The sequence below is a fragment of the Homo sapiens genome, chromosome 5 (genome assembly GCF_000001405.40).
Source record: "Homo sapiens chromosome 5, GRCh38.p14 Primary Assembly".
Lineage (NCBI taxonomy): Eukaryota > Metazoa > Chordata > Mammalia > Primates > Hominidae > Homo > Homo sapiens.
The window spans coordinates 21,886,424-21,907,591 of NC_000005.10; the positions used below are offsets into that span (position 1 = coordinate 21,886,424).

The following is a 21,168-nucleotide window of genomic DNA, read 5'->3' on the forward strand; positions in this document are numbered from 1 at the left end:
TGTTTTTTCTTTTTATTATTTTTCTTTTTATTAATTTTCCTCATATATATGAGGAAAAATAGTAAAGAAATAGAACAAAACCTCAAAGAGTTTACATATATTATTATATTATATATAATATATATAAATATATATAAATATAAAATTTATTATATATATAAATTCAGAGGGGATATATAAAACTCTTTGAGGTTTTGTTCTATTTCTTTAGAATATGCTTCTTTTTTTCCATTAACATGTCTTCAAATATTACACATAAGCACTTAATCTCTAATTATTCCATTTTTCTAATAGATATAATTTTATTTTAGATATAATTGTAACTTGAATTTTCATAGATGTTGGGGGAAGTGGTTTAGGTATTCTTATCGATATTTTATTACTTATCTCTCATTCAATATTTGTTTTTCTGTTTTATAATGTAGTTTTCCTCAAATGCATGATGATCTTTGGTTTTTGGCACATCTTTTAAGATGGAACAATGAAGCAGTTGGCTATGACTTGGGGCCGTGAGAGTCATGGAGACAATAGTCTCTGGTTAGTTTCCTCTAGTGTGCCATGCAGATTTTCTTATTATCAACATGTGTTGTGATATGACAGTATCAGTATTTTATCAATATCCATATTTACACGATAAAATTGTTTAGGATTTTCAGACTCATTCACTCATATAAATTAATTAAATTCTTTATTATTTCTGAGCTTGACAGTATCTAAGAAGACTTTGCATTTATACTTCCATTTTATCTTTCTCTCTCCACTTTAGAATATCTCCCTGATGATAATTCTTTGATACTCCTTCTTTTATCCCTTCTTTCACTCCTTGCTGATATTGTTTTCAGACACTATTTTGTATGATTGATAAGAAGTTTAAACAAGATGTTTATGATTCAGTTGATAGTGATGGACAAAAATTAAAAATGCATGACTATAATATCAAAGCTATAACAAATTTAATATTATAAGAAAGTAACTGAAGGAGAAATTAATTCTGTCTCCAAATGAACATCAATAGTGACTTGAAACACTTCTGATGAATAGACAGATCTTCCTCCCATAGTTAAAATCTGGCTGCCTGTGACTTTTTTCATCCCAGTGTCCCATTCTTCCTCTGGAGACACTGCGGATCCATAGCTTCCCTATTCTCCTTCAACAATGGAAAATCAGCTATCATTTTGCACTTACACTTCTTCCAATTGAACATACCCCCTTCTTCAACTGTTCCTTGTATAACATGATTCACACCATGGACTTTTTTGAGTAGCCCTCCAGGTCCTTCATATATGATTAAAATTCCCTGCTGGCATCTAGAAATGAATTATTGAGTTTCAGAAGAATCACTACCAGGTTGCATGAGGCCACAGTTTAGTATGAACATAGTCAGGGCCCGGGTAATTCACTGTTATGAGGGCACAACAGCTAGGAATTCAAATACTTTTGAGCAGTGCCAGGAGTAGATAACATAAGCAAGAATTGCCCCAATACTGTATTTTTTTTTTCCCCTTAGTTCCAGGTTTTCTTTCACCTCTTTCCATTAGCACTAATTAACGAGCCAGTTCAGTAAGCAGTTGATCTAAACAAAAAGTCTGAGTATAAGACAAACAATAACAACAACAACAACAAAACAGTCACACTAAGGAGGGTCTGAAAAGACTGCTACATTAGCCGGGCCTGGGGTAGTAACATGCAGGCAAAAAATTTGGTTGCAATATGGTGCAACCGGAGGTTAAGTTCTACAGTGAGGTCCACTACACTGTGTACCAAATCTAAGAAAGGACAAAAGAACATACGCTTTTCTCTCCTTTTTCCCTCGTGCTTTTAAAAATGTACATTCAGATTATTAAAGGGTAATTTTTTCATATGAAACTTAGAGACTTACTTTTCAGACTTTAAAAAGATGACTAGTATTTCATATCAAACACCTTACCTGTTAGCTCATAGAGAGACTACATCACTAACAATGCAGGGAGATAAATAGCATCTACTTTGAATTGTTCCTCAGTTTAGGAAACAATTTGCAACGTTTCCTCACTTCAGAGAAGTAATACTATTAGGAATGCTAATGTAAATGACGAGTTAATGGGTGCAGCACACCAACATGGTACATGTATACATATGTAACAAACCTGCATGTTGTGTACATGTACCCTAGAACTTAAAGTATAATAATAATAAAAAAAAGAAGTAACATATCTTCATAGAAATTTAAAATCACTCACAATTCAAACATGTGGGAGGTATTTGTGATAATACTTTTAAAGTTTGTATTGTTATTCCTACATAGATATAAGTAAATTGAGATTATACTATTTATACTATATTGTAACCTGCTTTTTAAAATTTAACAATATATATTGATAAATGTTCAGTTTCTAAATATTATTGATGTGCTTTTAATACATACCTATTTTATGAAATAAATGATTATACTAGTTTTTATAGCCAGTCCATTATTAATGCTACTCCAGTTGATTTTAAGCTTCTATCATTATAGATAAGGGCATGCTTGTATATACAAATAGGTGCATATTAGAAAATTAGAAATAAGCTGTCATGTTGCTGATATAGTAATTTATTTCTAAAGAAAGACTAAATACTTAAAATAGAAAAGCACATATGATTATATATTTCTGATAGGAAAAATAATATATTTTAGGTGCTATTCATATTTTTAATCCAGAAAACGTAAGATCAACATGCTGCATGATAAGTAATGTTTTTATATTTTATACTTAAACTGAGTTTCAATAAGGGAATGAGAAAAGTGATGCCAGCCTCTTTTAAAGAAATATAATTTGAACATTAAAAATGTTTACTATCTTAATTTCCAAGCCAATAAAAAAGTGTAAGAGCTATTTTTCCTGTATATATTATCATTATTTAGCAAAACAAAGTAGGGAGAAGGGAGATGTGGTATCTGGCTCACTGCAGGGGGATTATTACAATTCAGATCAGGAGGCCCCCTAGTCTGTGAACACATTCCCTGACCTGTCACTGCCAGTTTTAGCAAAGCTGTAGTTGCCTGCACCTGTAAAGAGAGAAACAGACATTGCCTTTGTGGGGCTTATCTTTTGAAAGAAAAATATATTACCAATCCAATGTTCTGAAGCTAGACTCCTGAAGCTGTTTTTACAGAAGCAAAGTGAAACAAAATATTTTACCTAAAGAAGCCTCTTTCCAGTCTGTGTTCGCATGTGTGTGGCTTTGATAACACAGCTTTCCATGCCATCAGTATCCTGAATGCTGAACAAAATCAGAAAGTATTCTCCAGTTCTTCTGCATTCTAGACATCTCAAAACAATATATGGGGTTTTGTTTGCTTTCTTTCTTTCTGCTGTAGGAAGTAACCATGTCCATAAAAGCAATACTACTATTTCTCAATATAGATGATGAAGAACAGCTGCCTTTGCCTAAAACCCTCTTTGTGTTAGCATCAGAGGGCAGAGCTGCTTTTCTTAGCATATAAGTTACCCCACACTGGCAATGTTTGACTTTTATTGCTTACAGAATCAGGTAAAAAAACATCAGCTGTAGTCTAAGACACTTCCTTCTTACAACTATATTTGACCAACAAAATATAAATCTCAAAGGTTCATTCTATGTTTCGGGAAATATGTAAAACACATTTAAATGACTGACACTTAAATGAATCAACTTCAGAAAAATTCTGTTTTTCTCTTTGCAAAGTGTAGTAAATACAGTTGTGCGTGGGTGTATGTGTATGTCTTACTTGTATTTCTTTCTTTTGTCAGGATCTTAAACATCTACTGTACTTTAATTGTTAAGATTTATTTCCCTCATTCGTTTCCCTATCCTCAGCACCCAGCACAGAATGTACTACAAATATTTAATCAATGGTTGCTTAAAAAACAGCATATTGAACGAATGAAACTCTTAAATCTTTCTTCTATGGTAAAAATGTCTAGAGTCAATTATTTGGTATAATAATTAATGGAAAATAAGAAGAGTAAAAAGAACCCCAGAAAGTCAATTATTTGTTATAACAGCTAATGGAAAATAAGAAGAGTGAAAAGAACTATACAGCCTTACTTTCAGCTAATTATTTGGTTAAGAAAGGATTTCAATTGGTGTATTTCTCATGTGATTTCACTATTCCACCTTCTGCTCAGTTTCAAATTCAATGGAGGGGGATAAAAATAATTATGTGTTTTACATTTGTTTATTTGCATTTGTATGTTAACAAACAAGGACCTGTCCTACAGCCATTAAAGCACAATTTTAGAGACAGAGTGATTCTACATACATAGGCTTTGCAGCAGAGATGTATATAAAGGACAAACATGTTAGGATTCTCTATATATTTGAAAAACGAAATAACGCAATAAAGCTCATTTTATAAAAGGACACTAAAAAAGTGAGGATACTGTCAAATTTAGGTTGGGATAGTAAGTAGTACTATTTAGAATTACAAAGAAAGAGCAAAAATAGAAAATTTAAAGAAACTTGTCAAAACAAGGAAGCAAGCTGAAAGGGAGAAAAATTGGATTTTCTACAACTGGCATACAGGTTGTCAACGTTATCCAAAGTATATAAACCCCATTACGTCTTCATAGAATGCCAACTACATTGTGAAAATTCCAATAAATGATGATAAGCCTAAAATTTATGATATGTCAATATATCTACCACATACCTTTCCAAAGGAATGACCCACCAGATCTATCCTGAGTTGTTTATATAAATCCTAATTGCAATTTATAGTTCTGTATTAAACTTTATTTGCAATCAATTATCTAAGATCAGCCTAACAATTGAGATAAAGTAGAACTAGAAAAAGATTAAGAGTTCAGGAAAATACACTCCTGGAGTTTTGATACTACATTCTAGTCACCTTTTTACATCTAACAGTATCAATTTACAGCTGTGGAAATTCAGACATAGCCCTATTTTTGGAAAATTCAACAAAGAAGTATTAACATTGCATCTTTCATAGGCTTAGAATTTTTGATCCAAAAGCTATTTAAGATAAAATCTCATTTTGCTTTCCATTACAGAGATGACAAAAACAGCTAGAGATCATGAAATGAATTACACACATCATGTGGCCTATACTATCACAGTTGGGAGAAGAAATAAAGTCCCTTCATTCTTCAGTCCAATTCTCTTTCCTGTGAATACACACACACATACACACACACACACACACACACACACACACTCTTTCTGGCAATGTTTCTTACAAGTCTTTTTAGCAGACTAAACAAGGATCAGAGTTAATCTTTGGATTAAGTGTTTGGATGTAGCCAAAATAGTTGAATTTATCTCTATAGGAGACAATCAATGTTTTCTACAAGCAAATCAATATCCCAAGGTTACAGTTTCTGATTGTACTTAATTCTCCTTGCTAAATGTACCTTATTAATTATTTTGAAACAAGGGCCAAGTTTGTGGCTAGATCAAATCAAAACTTCAAAAGAAGGAAGGAAGGAAGGAAAAGAGGAAGAACAAAACAGAGAAAGATAAGAAAAGAAAACTAGGAAAGGCTCCAAATCTATGCTTAATTGATGGCTACCAATTTGAGTTCTCCTGAACCTGTTCCAATACTGTGCTGAGAATTTTAGCTGATCATGACTGCTATGCCAAGCTCATATAACACGTTCAGTTTTAAATCCATTATGATATCTTGGACTTCCAGTTAATAAAATAGTATTTAAATTCTGATCATTTTCAGTAAAAATAAGAATAATTACAGATCTGAACTGTATTTGGGGAGTAAAAGATGCATAACATTTTTTAAATGCTTTCTGTGATAATGCTAGTAATTCCCTTTGGTTTTGTTTATTAATTGATATGCAATTCTTGATAAACAGCTTCTGGTTTAGTCATGTAGATGTTCGGCAAGGCTCAGAGTGATGTGGTTATCAATCATGGTGATGAGCTGTCTTGTTGTTTGATATGAACTTTCCTAGAATGGAATACAACTTCCTTTAAAGAATCCTGGAACTCTAGGGTAGGTGGTGGGTTTAGGGTGGTGGCGGGAAAAAGTAAAGTATTTCATTGTTGTCACTTTTCGCAGGTTCTGCCATCACATGCAGTTAGTTACTTAGGCCAGAGATTAATTTGGATTGTAAAAGAAATAAGCTTTTTTCTTCTAGTCTAATTTTATTCACTAGGGTTTTAAAAGCCACAAATTCTTCTTGTGGCAGAAACTCACAGTATGTATTAAAAGTGTTTATTTTTATTTTAATAAATATATAAAGTTTTACGTTTATAAAAATGTTTGCATCAGTTTACCTACAATACTAAATCTTTTGGAAAATAATTTAAAAAATGGTTCACAAGGATATGACCTATGGCCATTCTCCTCCTTAAAAAAATCTGTGATGCTGCCTGATTTGGTTTCAGGAAAAGCAAAAGCATGATATCCATCTCTGTTTTCTCCATTAAAAAACCCGCTTGATCTAAGTATTGACTCAATAATTTGTTGAAATAATAACTTAATTGAGGAAGTAATCATATCTTGTAATTTAATAATATGGTATAATGGTTGGAAAGAGTAACCAAACAACCAGCAAAGCTTCACGTACAACTAACTGGTCTTGCTCTTGATAGAAGGATTTAGTACATCACGTTTGCCTTTGATCCCCTTTATCACCTTTTCATACCCTTTATCTTCTATAGTAACAAAGTTCTCCCGCATCTTGCTCTTGTTCTTATCTTTTGAACATCAACATCTGCTAGCAGTTATCTCATTTGTACCGCACTGTAAACGACTTAGAAGAGTTTTGATCATTGCCTTTCAAGTTAATTGTAAAATTTCAAGCATGGGTGGATCATTTGAATGCGTGTTTGCAGCAACTATTTAGTCTAAGTTGTGGTTGAGGGAAAAAGAGGGGATTCAGAAATTATACTAATAGAACCTCAGCAAAAACAGGGCCACAATAAAAGGAAAATTCAAGGGAGTGGCAGGAGAGAACAAAATGAAGTCCAGAAAGGCATAATGAGTTCAGAAATTGGCCCATTAGAAAAGAAGCGGGAATTGCAGACATATCTCTTTGTAAGCAGACACACCTATAGAAATATTTGTGCATCTTTTTCTTGCTAAATAGTGCAGCTTACATTTATTGTCACCAGTAATATTTAACAAAGCCTTAGAATTTTTAGTGTAGTACCCCAAAATCAGTTTGGTAGCACATTCAACTTTTTGAAAATAAGAACTTCAAGTATTCTTGCAATTTTGATGTCTACTGCAAAATGACATGAGTGAAGTAACCCTGCTACTGATTGTTTTCAGTGGGTGAAATATATTTTCTTATCTACTGATATATAGAAACAAGCAAGTGCAACATTAAGAATGAATCATGTCATTCTTCTCTACTTCTGGTTTTGAAGCCCAGTAGAGTTATAAAGAAACAAATTTGTAAGAAAAGTGTACCAACTGAAATGGCTCCTTACATAAACAGCTGCCAGTGAGATTTTTTTTCTGTCATTAATTATAACCAAGGAATAAAGTTCTTTACAACCCTTTACATCACAGAAAAGGTATTTGAGTTTTTTATTTTAATTAATTATTCGCTGAAGAAACCATTTACAGTATTTAACGCCTGCAAGAGGTGCTGAGTTAGGTGCTAGTCCAAAGAGATGAGTGAGAGAAATAGATTTTAAACAATTAAAGTATAGAATGGTACTAGCATAAAGAAAAGATAAATATTGGCTGGGCAGAGCGGTTCATGCCTGTAATCCCAGCACTTTGGGAAGCCAAGGCGGGTGGATCACCTGAGGTCAGCAGTTCGAGACCAGTCTCATGAGTATAGTGACACCTTGTCTCTACTAAAAATACAAAAATTAGCCAGGCATGGTGGCATGAGCCTGTAGTCCCAGTTACTCAGGAGGCTGAGACAGGAGAATTGCTTGAACCCGGGAGGCGGAGTTTGCAGTAAGCCCAGATTGTGCCGCTGCACTCCAGCCTGGGCAACAGAGGGAGACACCGTCTCAAAGAAAAAAAAAAAAAAAAAAAAAAGAAAGCATAAATATCTCAGGTTATGAATATTCCCAGGACACTGATTTGATTACAAATATACAAATGTATTAAGTTATCACGAGTATCCAAACACTATGTATATCTATTATGAATCAACTTGTAAAGTATAATGTGTACTTAAAAAGTGTAGAAACACAAACACATACATGTACACAAATACCCACAATAAATATGCAGTTTGAAAGAAAGAAAATCTTTCTTTATACAGCTATATTTATTTATAATTTTATTCAGATCATTTAAAGAACATTACCCCTTTTTTGAATTTAGTTGCATTCTAGGACTCCAGGTTTTTTTGACCAGCATTTAAAACCAAGGCAGAGTTTATTTATCTTTCATCTGTAAAAGGGGTAACCCTTGGCAACACGAAAAGAAATCTAACATTATCCTTTAGTAATAACTAAAGGATCTTTCTCTGGATACCTTGTGACTGCTCCTCAGCCCTCTAATATCTCCCATATTTATAATAACTGCATAGAGCATAAGTGGTTCACCATATTTGCTCAAGTCAATTAAAATGTGAAGGGAAATTACTTTTAACTGCAAAAACCAAAATTACTTTTGCACCAACTAATACGTAGCAAATAAATTGAAAAAAAAAAAAAGACTAGTTCTCAGAGAACTGGTCTCTTTTAGCCTGCTATACTGTTCCTCCTTAGTTGACTTTCAAGGCTGTTCAGCTGCGCTCACTATAAAGGGACAGTAGTAGCCTATAGCACAGAGAAGAAGACAGAGCTGGAGAGAAATGAGTAAATGTGCAAGAAGCTTCCAAAGTGATTGGAGAGAAATGGAATGTATCTCCCCCTCACACTCCTTCAGCTTACCTCACATACCCCATGTTTAGAGGTATTATTTGTGGGTTAACATATGTGGTCTAAACCATAAATGTAGCAAATATGGGCATTAAGATTCCACATGGGAAGATACAAACAAAACTGAGTAGGCCGGCGGCCCTGGCACTGAGTAGAGAAGAGAAACTGTGGTTCTGTCTTCCTATATGTCATTAATGCGTGGAAGCTTCTTGACTTAGCCCATCAGGACGCTCATCCTGCCCTTAAGGAGCTGCTCTTCCACAAGCAGTCTTCAGTCCATTAGAGCAGCAGGGAATGTTTCCAGAGCTCCATATGCATCAATTTGGGAAACTGCATCACCTTGTTAGCCACACAGCTGCGCTTTTCTTTCTCAGGGCTCAGCTCAGCTGCTGATGTTAGACAGCCTTGTGCCACAAGAAGTGTGTCAGAGCCCAGAGGAGCCACTGCCCCCCACCCAGTCAGGGACTGGAGTTGAATTCTACCATTCTGGAGAGAATCTAGCCCTGCCCAAGTGCCCAGGTAGTAGCCTTCATGATTGAAGGTAAAGATCAGCAGGAAACTGGCTTCCTTCAAATAACTGTGCATGAGGGTACAGATAGGAAGATCCCCCAGGCCTGGAAGCAAACACAGCCTGGGAGCCCACTCTAGCATTGGGTAGGATCTCTCAAATCTCAGTTATTTTCATCAGTGTGTGGCTCTTGGCTGCAACCCAAGCACCAGGATAACAATGGACCAGGCAGAACAATTCCCTTCCCTTGGGAGCTAGCAGATGTGCAGAGGTGTCTCTTCTAATCTTAAATTGAATTAAAGCCCTGAGAGAAGGTGCATTGGCTTCCACGCCTCTACATAGCGTAAGGTTTGAATGCTGAACTCTGGGCATAAATGAGGCACAGTATCTGCTATGCCAGCTGGAATGACAGCCAGCTTAATCAAATAGAATTCATTCCAAAAAAGAAATTGAGAGTCACCGATGGAGAGTGAGAGTGAGAAAAATACAAATACATATTTATATGAGCTTGAAAAATTATAATACTGGAATTCCTCTTATAAACCAATTTGTTTCAGTACCAACTCTTTTCCAAACATAGATTATTATCTTCACAGCTTGGACAATTAAAAAGTGTCAAAATAACAATTTTCTCTGCTCAAAAATCTAAAAGATGGCATCCTCTTTTCATTATATGTAAACTATTTCACAAGCTGTGACATGAATAAAATGCAAATCAGATTATTACAATTCTCAGCAGCTAATGGGAACTCTACCTCTTTCTCTTCCATTCACCATTGAAATACCAGATTGTTATAAAAGCCTTTAAAGACTGAACTTGAGAGACCGAGTGTTGTGTCCAATGGCTAATTCAAGGTGATCTACAACCTAATCGATGTATAAACAAGTATAGTTTTGCTGTTATTTTGAAATCAAAGAATCAAGTAAGACTGACAAATGATGGAAAACACGTGAAACAAAAAAAACTTTTTTTATCTAATGCTTGATAGATGGCTAAACTTCTTAACACTGCCCGCTTCCCAGATATTTCAGAAAAATGAGACTATAGATTGACGAAGTATTAAATCTGTGGTAGCTTATCCCTCTTGAGTTTATTGGCTTATTTATTCTTATCAGTATAATTTGTCTACAAGCACATGTAAAAAGTCTCAATTTAGTATGTTGCTAGAGAAAAAGTCAAAGGAAAATAAATAGAACTTTGAGGTTTCTGCTCTTTATTCAGAATCATTGGAAAATACAAGCCAACCAAAAAAAATTAAATTCTACCTACAACTAAATCTGAGAAAAAAATATTGAGTTCATAAAGATGAACATATAAGTTTTATTTTGATAGAAATTGCCAACAAATATAATCAACTGAAATGTTGCTCAGTAAGGAGAAAGGGGAAAAAAAGGTTATATAAATACAATGACAGCCAGGTATTGTCATTTTCAAAGACCCTATGCCTAACATTCACAGGGTTGCTTTTTACAAATCTGGTTGACAGAAATTTTCAGCATTCATCCAGTAACTGAAATGTATTGGTCAGTACTATAGGCTTCATATGACTGTGAGCATCTAGAAAGCTCTGGTTTCCTCCGAGCGGATGACATTTATCTATTTTGTATTTTGCTTACAAAAAAATGTTTCCCAAGTGATACCTTGATATTTTATGAAAAAAGATGTTACTGAAGAGAAATAAAGCCTCAAATGTCTGTTACGTTGAATGAAAATGTACTGACAAAGGTGATATCAAGTTTTTAGAGACAGTATCATTAGCCTGTCCCATATTCTTCAGAGTTTCTGAGTTACTCAAAATGAAACTGACAGGATTATGGACTATCATGTGAAATTTTGATTGTATTGAAGCCAGCTCTAAAAGAATCCTAGAAACATGAACATATTACATCTTAGTTTTGTATACATATGCTTGCAATAAAACTGCTTTTATAGTAAGATTTCATAAATATTCCTCATATAATTTATAAGATAAAAACTCAAGGTTACAAAACATATTTATCAGAGCTATTTTGAAAATGAATTTAAAAAATACAAATAAAAGCTAAATTTTGACTTCTTCCATGTATTACAATATTTCTTTGTCTTCTGACACCAACAAAACATTTTCAGCAGATTGAAATTTTAAAGGCTTCTACACTGTAATTATATTACAGAACACAATGTCATTAAAATGTAAAGCAAATGGAATAGGTTATATGCCATTTAATGTTCTGATATTTTTATTTAAATTGAGTAGGTTATATGCCACTTAATATTTCTGATATTTTTATTAAAGTCATCATAAAATTGACATGTTCTTTCTTAATGACAGGCATGACCTTATGTAGTAAAAGTACTTTCTTGAATATTAAACAACTGCTGAAATCACCAGAATAAATAAAAAACTTGGCTTACTTTAGGAATAAATTATAGGAAAAATCTATATGTAGGGCCTTTTAGTATACATTAAATTTTTTTTCTGTTTTTCTTTTTAATATTTTATTTTATTTTTAGAGACAGGGTCTCACTCTGTGAGACCAGGATGGAGTGTAGTGGTGTGATCTCATATGTCATAGCATCCTCAAACTCCTGGTCTCAAGTGATTCCCCTGCCTTGGCCTCCCAAAGTGCTGGGATTGCAGGCATGTACCGCTGCACTCAACCTAAAATTTCTTTTAAAAAATCTATTTGAGAAAGGCCAGGCGCGGTGGCTCACGGCTGTAATCCCAGCACTTTGGGAGGCTGAGGCGGGCGGATCAGGAGGTCAGGAGATCGAGACCATCCTGGCTGACACGGTGAAACCCCGTCTCTACTAAAAATACAAAAAATTAGCTGGGCGTGGTGGCGGGCGCCTATAGTCCCAGCTACTCGGGAGGCTGAGGCAGGAGAATGGCGTGAACTTGGGAGGCTGAGGTTGAAATGAGCTGAGATCGCGCCACTGCTCTTCAGCCTGGCAACAGAGCGAGACTCCATCTCAAAAAAATAAGTAAATAAATATATAAATAAATAAAATAAAGTATATTTGAGAAGAGACAATTGTAAAAGTTATGAAAAAAGTTTGAGATAGATTCAGAAAGGAGTCAAGCTGAATGGAGAGATGTAATCATGAAGAAAGGAGAGGAAATCTGGTCTGTATCGCTTGAATTTTATCATGGAAGTTAAAACAAAAATGAGTTGATCTAAGAGAAGGAATTTATGAGGGAAAAGGCAGATCTTCATGGCCCGAAACTCTGTTTTAGTCTATCTCACACAATTTCTCCTGCTTTCCAGGAAAACTTTACTTTTCACCTCGCCAATATGGTCTTTCCACCTCTGTGATTTAGTTCTTACTCTCCTTCCCACCTGGGGGTTGTTCCCTCCTACCTTTTCTGTATTTGCTGTAAATTACCCATCCTTAACATCTAAATTTAACAATCATAAATACCATGGAGTTATCTGTGATCTTTCTAGCTAGAATTAATTTTCTTCTCTCTGATGCTTTCAGAACAGTTTCTGCTTAAAGTATTTATTGCATGCCACCTTGCATTACAAATCTTTATGTACACATTAGCTTTATTCCTGGTTTTATAGATCTCTTGAAGGCAAGGGCAGTCTGATTTACCTTGCATTCCTCATAATACTCAGAGAACCTAGTATAAGGCCATTTTAGAAAATAGATACTTGATACAATTCAGTGAAAGCATGTCATGGACATGTTAAATCAAGACCCTAGTTGAGGAGTTTGCTAGGAACGAGGCTAAAGCTACAAACTTTCAAGTATATTTGTGCTTGGGATAAAATCAAGGCTGTGGGCTCTTTAGGAGAGAAGGAGAAATCTCAAAATTTAAACTCATTTACAATTTAAAAGGTATGAAATATTTGAGGTCATCTAATGGCAAAGCAATCAGTTTTCAGAGGCATTTGAGGCATGGCATTCAAATTGTCTTGGCAAAGATATTTATAAAGAAATGTATAGAGGATTAACCTATAACGATTGAGAAAGTTATTTAAAAGGTTTGTTTTAAAAAGCTCTTATTAGTAATAACAATTATTAATATAATAATAACATTCTTCTAGCTTTTTTGAATATTAACTATAATATATGAACCATACTAAATGCTGTGTGTTTATTATATAATTTTAATACTTGTGATAGAATTCATTTTGTTCTTACAATAATCACTATATAATTTCCATTATAAAGATGAGAAAATCAAGACTAGAAAATGTGCTTGAAATTTTATAATCCTCAAGTTATTATTGAACATTTTATTCATATATCTATATGGAATTTATATATACAAATCCACAGATTTTATATATCTAGCTAGATACATAGATAGTTACAGGTACTTACAGACCATTTTAAAGACTTAATAAAAGTTAATTTTGATATTAACATTGAATAATTTGGATCTTCAATATATGCTATTTACAAGCATCACTTTTGGCACTAGCTCTCTAAAGTATACATTCATGAATCCCAGAGCATATATCCATGTCTTGTGGTAGCTATCACAGGAAATAATATGTGCCTCAATTCCTGTGGAAGGCAGGAGGGAGGCAATAAAGAAAGGAAGGAAGAAATGAAGTACAAAGCAAACACTATAAACTGGCTATTCAAGTAAACAATACGTTATTATTCTAACGATAACCAGTTATTAGTGAATAATAATACAATCTATATATGACAGGTATGTAGTATATTTAATAGCTATTCTAAATAATTAAAATGCCAAAGGTTATATCACATCATCTTATATCATGTTATATTAGCTATAGCTGTACAAAATGCTGTTATACTTACTATGTGTAAAAACAAACCATGCCAATTCATTAAAAAACTGGTAGTGACCTGGGAGCTCTGCCACCGTAACAACCAAATGCTGGATATTACACTAGAAATGTCATGGTATTTATCTTTTTTCACTAAGGGTGGCCCATTTCTGATTTGGACTTTGAACAGAAAACACATATTTCAATAACAAGTTTAAAATCGGTCCCCGACTCCGCCAGCCAATGCCCACCACAATTGCAGCACAATTCAAGAGAGTGCTGAAGACTCTGCAGAATTAATGCAATGAGAAAAGGAACTTTGATAGCGAATGCTCAGAATGACGATGGGCTACAGAATCATACAGTCATCTTTAAAACCTCTGCCTAAATAAAGATGATAAATCCTTGAGAAAAGAAGTGAGCATCACAGCCCACATAGCACATGCCACACTGCAAACAAAAGTCCAGGCTATTCTTTCTCATTGTTGTTTCTGCCATGCCGCATTTCTGGCACAGAACAGTTGCTCAGTAAATATTGTGAAATAATATAAATGAATTTAAACGTTTGATTTAAATTCAGCCAGAGAAGAGATTGCTCATATTTCTTCAGGGTTTTCTCTAAACCCTTAGTGAAGTGATACATTTTATAGTACACATTGCACATTTTCCATTGTAAAATATAAGTTGAGTCATGTTCAAGAAAATTTTGGGGATTTTCTAAGGTCAACATATAAAGTTCAATATTGAAAAAAACATGTTTTTGTATGCCTAGAACTTATAAGTCATATTATTATAGTCTAATTCCAATCCTGAGAGTGAACAAAAAAAGTTAAGTGCACCTCTGATAATTATGTTCAATTATGGCTGATTTCTAACTGGCATAGGTCCATGTTACACATAATAAGATCCCATGTAAAACTTCAGCCATTCAAACCCAGGTAAATAGCTTTGAGTTCATAATTTTCAAATATCTTTTTTCAAAAACTTGTTGGAACTGTTCTACTTCTATGACATTCTTTCCCAACTGACTTTAGAAGTGACATCTCAATTTCCTTTTATTTATGTCACTGGAACTACTGCTTCAATGCTTTCTGATTTCATACCTGCATAATAAAATTCCTGATTCGCCCATCACATTTTGGCAAACAACCACCGCCACATCTCTCTGGATACTGGCTTTATCAACCCTCCAGATTCATTTCAACCAGCCACCTCCACATATGATTTTCCAACCACTTTGAACTCCCAAGCAACCAGGTGTTCTCCCTCACTATGATCTGCTTGCACCTGATCCAGGCTTGACAAACAACATCATCATCCAGCAGTGGTTTATATCCATCATGAGGTTTTCCAAACATCAGTCATTCAATTATTTCCTTCACAAGTTTTGCTCCAACTGTATATAATTTGCTGTGTTATAATTATGACTTTATTGTATAACAGATACTCTATGATAAAAGGGATATATTCTTGTTCTGCTAGCCACTGTACGTGCAGAGATTACAATAATAATCGTCATGTACTGCTCACTTAGGAAACATTGTTGAATAAGCAAGTGAACAGATGAAGATATCACTGGATGGAATCTTTCAAAATTATGCACTATACGCAAAGCAATATTATTCAATTCTATCTTTATTCTGCTGCCTTCTGTAGGATCTATCTTAGAGATATGTTGCCTCTTGATTATGAAGGGAGACTTGCAAGTGATAAACAAAGGTAAATTGTTACTAGTAAACCAAATTGAGGTGCTCTCTCTCTCTCTACATATATGTATAATATAAGTATATATATTACATATGTATTATATGTATATATGTATATATGTGTATATATATATATCTCCCTCGCTATTTCTCTTTCTCTCTGTCTCACTCACTGTCTCTCTTTCAGATCTTTGCTACTCTAAGTATGTTTCCAGAGCCAGTGGATTAAGTACCATGCAGAGAGTTTTTGAGAAATGCAGAATCTCAGGCCCCATAACAGACTTAATGCAGAATCCATGGTTTAACAAGTACCCAAGTGATTCATATGTCCATTATATCTGAGAAGCTCTGTCTTCCATATAATCAGAAAGAGTTAAAAGAGAATTGAAAAAGAAAATATGTTTCTCACTAGGTAACCCAGCATTACTTAATTCTAAATGAGTGCTAATAGAACTTTTTGCAGTGACAGAAATGTTCTCTATCTGCTCTGAACAATAACCACATGTGGCTATTTATCACTTTAAAAGAGACTAATATAAATAAGAAACTAAACTTTAATTTTGTTCAATTTTTTTTAAAATTTATTTTTAATTAGTCAATGTAGCCAATGGCTATTATGTTGGAGAGTATGACTCTATTAGATATGGGTAACAACAGCTAAACATTGGGGAACACTTGTATGCTGATTTAAAGATGTTGCATAAATGGAAGAATGATAAGACGAAGAATTGAGCCCATGAAAACATTAGGAAAATAAGACTGCGCATTCAAATTATTATGTCATAAATTTTACAATTTACAAATGAGTTAAGACGCTAATGATAATATTTCAAAATAATAAATGGCCAAGGCTGCTACTTAGAGTTAAGAAAATGAAAACAACCATTAGGTGCTGCTCTCCTTCATATCCCATTAAAATAATGATAAAAATAAATACAATTAAATAAATAAAAATTAAAATGAGACTTGGAAGAAACAATAACGACAACATTTTAAATTCTGGGAAGCAGAAAAATAAGTGGTAATTAACAGTGTGCCCCAAATGTTGAATTCTACACAGCAATAGTAGGGAAATTGGAGAGTTACTAGAATTTGTGCTGCAGATGCTTTATGAGAAACAAGGTTGGTGATACTTAGCTCCCTGTGAAAATAGTGCTAAAGAAGAGATTGTAAGTACGTTTGAAAAACGTACGTAAGAAGCATGCAAATAGATCCCAACAGTTCTTCTCTCAGTCTACTCAGCTAGGGGACTGTCTTCAACTCCCTTCCTGCCCTTACCCCTTATTGCCTACATATGCTTCAGAAGAAGGCTAAGGGTTCGTTATCTTAAAGGGGGAAAAGAGTGTCTTGGACACCAGCCTTAGCTGTCAGACAGGTCTCATCTTAATTCTGAAAACAGAATTAAGAGAAATTTACTTTCTAAAAGTTAAACCTGTACCGGTTTCCCCTATTTGGTGCCTAGAACTCCAACAGCCAGGTTTATATAACAGTGTCATAAAATAGAAGTCTTTTCTGGATAGTTGGATCAGCCGAGAGAAAAATAAAAACAAAACAAATAAAAACACAAATGAACAATAGAAGTCAAAAGATACAGTGAGAAAATCTTCAAGAAGGTAAGGTAAGAACACAAATAGATGGAAAGTAGGAGCCAAAAGATAAGAAAACTCAAAGAAAAGTATCTGAATAGTAGTTCCAGAAAAGGAACAGAAAATGAGACACAAAAAAAGCCATCAACGACATCATTCCCAATTTATTCCTTAGAAAAAAAGACATGGATTTCCAGATTAAAATGTCTTGCTAAGTGTCCTGCATGATGGATGAAAATAGACATGCAGCAATATTCAAGACTGATAATTTCCAACCATCAGGGATCTGCCTCTGTAGTCTCTTCTCTTTCTCTATTAGGCAATTATAACTACTGTCTGCATTGCTGATTTCCTGCCCTAAATTCTGCTAATAAACTTCATGTTACATTTTTCCCCGTGTAAAAATGTTTCACTGGTGGTGTTTGGGTTCTTTTTCATTGTATAACACAGGATCTCAAAAAGTTTACCTACCATGCATCCTGTTGCAGGAAATAATTAGTGAGATATGCTCCACCAAAACGAGGAAGTGAATGCAGAAGAAAATCAGAAGTTATAGGAAAAAGGGGAGAGAACACAAGAGACATGTGGAAGGAATAATAATGGGATGATTATCAAAATATCACCACTGGATTTTGGAATTCTTGAGAGTAATCAAACCAGACTGAAGCTAGTTAGATAAGGCTAAGGAAGATTTCTTTAAGACTATAAAATTGGGCTGGCGTAGTAGCTCATGATGTCTGTAATCCCAGCACTTTGAGAGGCTTGGATGAGAGGATCACTTGAGGCCAGGAGTTCAAGACCAGCCCGAGTAACATAGAGAGTCCCTGTCTCTACAAAATAAATAAATAAAAATAAAAAATTAGCCAAGCAAGGTGGCATGTGCCTGTAGTCCTAGCTACTTGGGAGGCTGAGACAAAAGGATTGCTTGAGCCCAAGAGTTCAGCCTGCAATGAGTTATGATTGCACCACTATACTCCAGCCTGAACCAAAGCATGACAGTGTCTCTAAAAACAAACAAACAAACAAAAAACAGAAAGAAAGAAAAAGGAAAAGGAAAAGGAAAAACAGACTATAAAATTGAGAAAATAGCTAACATATTGAGATGTGGTTTATACCACTGCAGGGTGAAATTGCAGATGTATTAACACTAAGGACATAGAAAAGTCCCCCCAAATAACCATAAAGTTCAAAATTTATTAAACTGAGGGAAACCAAGGTGATGTACAGGAAAGAAAATCACATGGCTCAGCTATAAAAGCATTTGCATAGCCATTGCAATGTGTACTTTGGATGTCAATCACAATTTGTCCTTTAGGGATAGATGGTAAATAGAAAAAGGTATCAAAAATAGGTTTAAGTGGGTGCCGTAGAGCACAGGAAATGTGTGCGGTGAAGCAGGAAGAGAGCAGAGAGCTTTTATAGGGGATGGCTTTGTTTTGTAGCCTTATCAACTGTTGGACTCAAAGTTGTGTTTTTAAAACTCAAACTATAAAACACAGAAATGACAAAACAAGATAAAAACTAACTAAATTTTAAAATTACAAAGATTTGGGAGAATCCCTCCAATTGTGACGATACCTTAATTTTAGCACGAACTTTTGATTGGATGCTTGCTAAGCAGACTCTTGGGCACTGGAAATACAGCAGTGAGTAAAACAGGCAAAAATGACTGTCTTTGCAGTTTGTCTTTTCCTCAGTGATACATTGGAAAATGTGAAAGCACATCTGCCCTATAATTTTCTAACTCCAGGTTTTAGAACTTTTGCAACAGACTACAATTACCAGGCTCTGGCCACCTATTGAGTCCCTTACCCGATCACTCTCTCTCAGACTCCCAATTCCAGTCAAACAACTCTCCTTACAGTCTGTGTTTTTTGTTTTCCTGGACTAGAAAGTTCTCACAGATATCGCAATTGTCTCATTCATTCTAGTTTTGAGTCAATTACCATCTCGGCAGAGAGACCTCATCAATTACTATGTTTAAAGTATCTATTGTTGCTCTTTTTCCCTCTCCCCTTTCACTGCTTTATTTCTCCTTATTGCACTGAAAATACTGGATGTGATTTGCATTTATTTGAACATATGTTTATTGTCAGTATTTTTCTGACAGATGCTGACATACAATAGCAATAACTTTCTTCTGTTTGTTTCTAAATTCATGGTGTCTAGAACAATGTCTGGTTAATAGTAAGTGCTCAATACTTATATTTAGAAGAAAAGAAGGAAGAATATAAAGGAGAAAGACAATAGAAATAACAGATTAAAATAAATCCATAATATGTTACTATAAGTACATATTTATATTTATAAAGTTATTTTACTTCCTAACCATTAATTAATATCTAAATTATTTTTAAAGATGGATATTTTAGGTAGCTTTAGGTTTGACGGTGGTCAAGAATAGATTAGTTTCTTGAAATAGGATATTTTCCAAATGTGAATACAATTACTTGAAGCAGACAGGTCAGGGGTTTTCATGACTTCAGTCATTTCTTTTAGGGTTCTGGACATATGTATTCATTGAGCAGACTTTTGTTTTTATAGCTTTAGTAAGAATGAAATTTGCAATGTTCTAGATCTGATATACTGAGATTTGACACATACTTTAGAATATAGCAACACCTTATTAGCTGCAGTATAGCAAATAGGTACTGAAAAGAAATATCTAGACAACTCCGAAATTCCTCTTGCCACATTACTCTTAAGGGAAGGAAAAGCTGTTAGGAGGTGCTGAATAATAATCACAGTTGAGTCACTTTCTGACACTGCTGTCTTGCATGATTTACTGAATATAATCCTTCAAATGATCTTTGCTTTCTTTTCAACTCCCAAAAGGAGATATTAATTTTTGTTGTAGTTGTTTTCTTTAAAAAAATCCGAATTTAGGCAACTTTATTGGAACTTTGGGACCTGTCACCGTTTGTGAGTCTGTAGATACATCCAGCCATGTTTTTCCACCCTGGATGCAACATTCCTGAGCTACAGTCAGTTTTCTGATACCCTGCCCTCTCCAGCTGCCTTCTGCCTTTACTCACAAATATGAAGTAAGAAATCAGTGTTTTTTTAGTTTATTTATTTATTTACATGTAGAGACGAAGTCTCTCTTTGTTGCCCAGGCTGGTCTTGAGCTCCTGGCCTCAGAATATCCTCCCTCCTCAGCCTTCCAAAGTGCTGGGATTACAGGCCTGAGCCACTGCGCCCAGGCAATAGTTCTGTCTTGGTAGAGCCCAGCTCCTGTGAAAAGCAGCAGCGACTGCGCTAAACCGGCTGTTACAAAAGACAGCCTCAGTCTTAATAGAAATACAAGCTACTGCAATACTGTTATGTGCCGGGGAGACTGCTCATATAAACTCCAGCAACATCCCCGCATGCATTAGAAAACCTGGGGTGCTACAGGTCTGCAATGCTGCTGCCAATTAGAACATCGTAACGGGAAAGAGGGGTTTAAAAAATACGCCCAAATAGGGAAGAGTTAAACTGAGAAGCTTTCTGCCAAAGACCTCCTGTGTGTGTACGGGGAGTGGGCAGCAGCACAAAGCCAGCGACCCAGTTGGGAAAGGAAAGGAGAATGGGGGATAATTTTCTCACTAACCTTAAGAGCAGTGGGTAGGATTTAAGTGGGGACTATCTGTGAAACTGCAAAGCAAGCACATAAAATACAATTTGCTCCTATGTTGGCAAAGGGAGGGCCTTGCAGGTGGGCACAGGGATAATCTGTATCATGCCATGGAAGCCCGATGGAAACAGTTTTAGAAAAGCATATGATTGCCACAACCAATTTGAAGTTGAAAGTAAAATATGATTAGTCTGTGTCTGGGAG

At 34.8% G+C, this 21,168-nt stretch overlaps 1 protein-coding gene across 10 annotated transcripts in view; it reads right to left on the reverse strand.

The window, feature by feature from the left end:
- CDH12 (cadherin 12) overlaps positions 1–21,168 on the reverse strand; it is a 1,102,672-nt gene that overhangs the window by 135,751 nt on the left and 945,753 nt on the right. Inside the window, exon 1 of one of the 10 annotated variants that reach the window (NM_001364109.2) lies at positions 3,162–3,424. The gene's annotated coding sequence lies outside the window, so the exon portion shown is untranslated. 10 annotated transcript variants of the gene reach the window in all.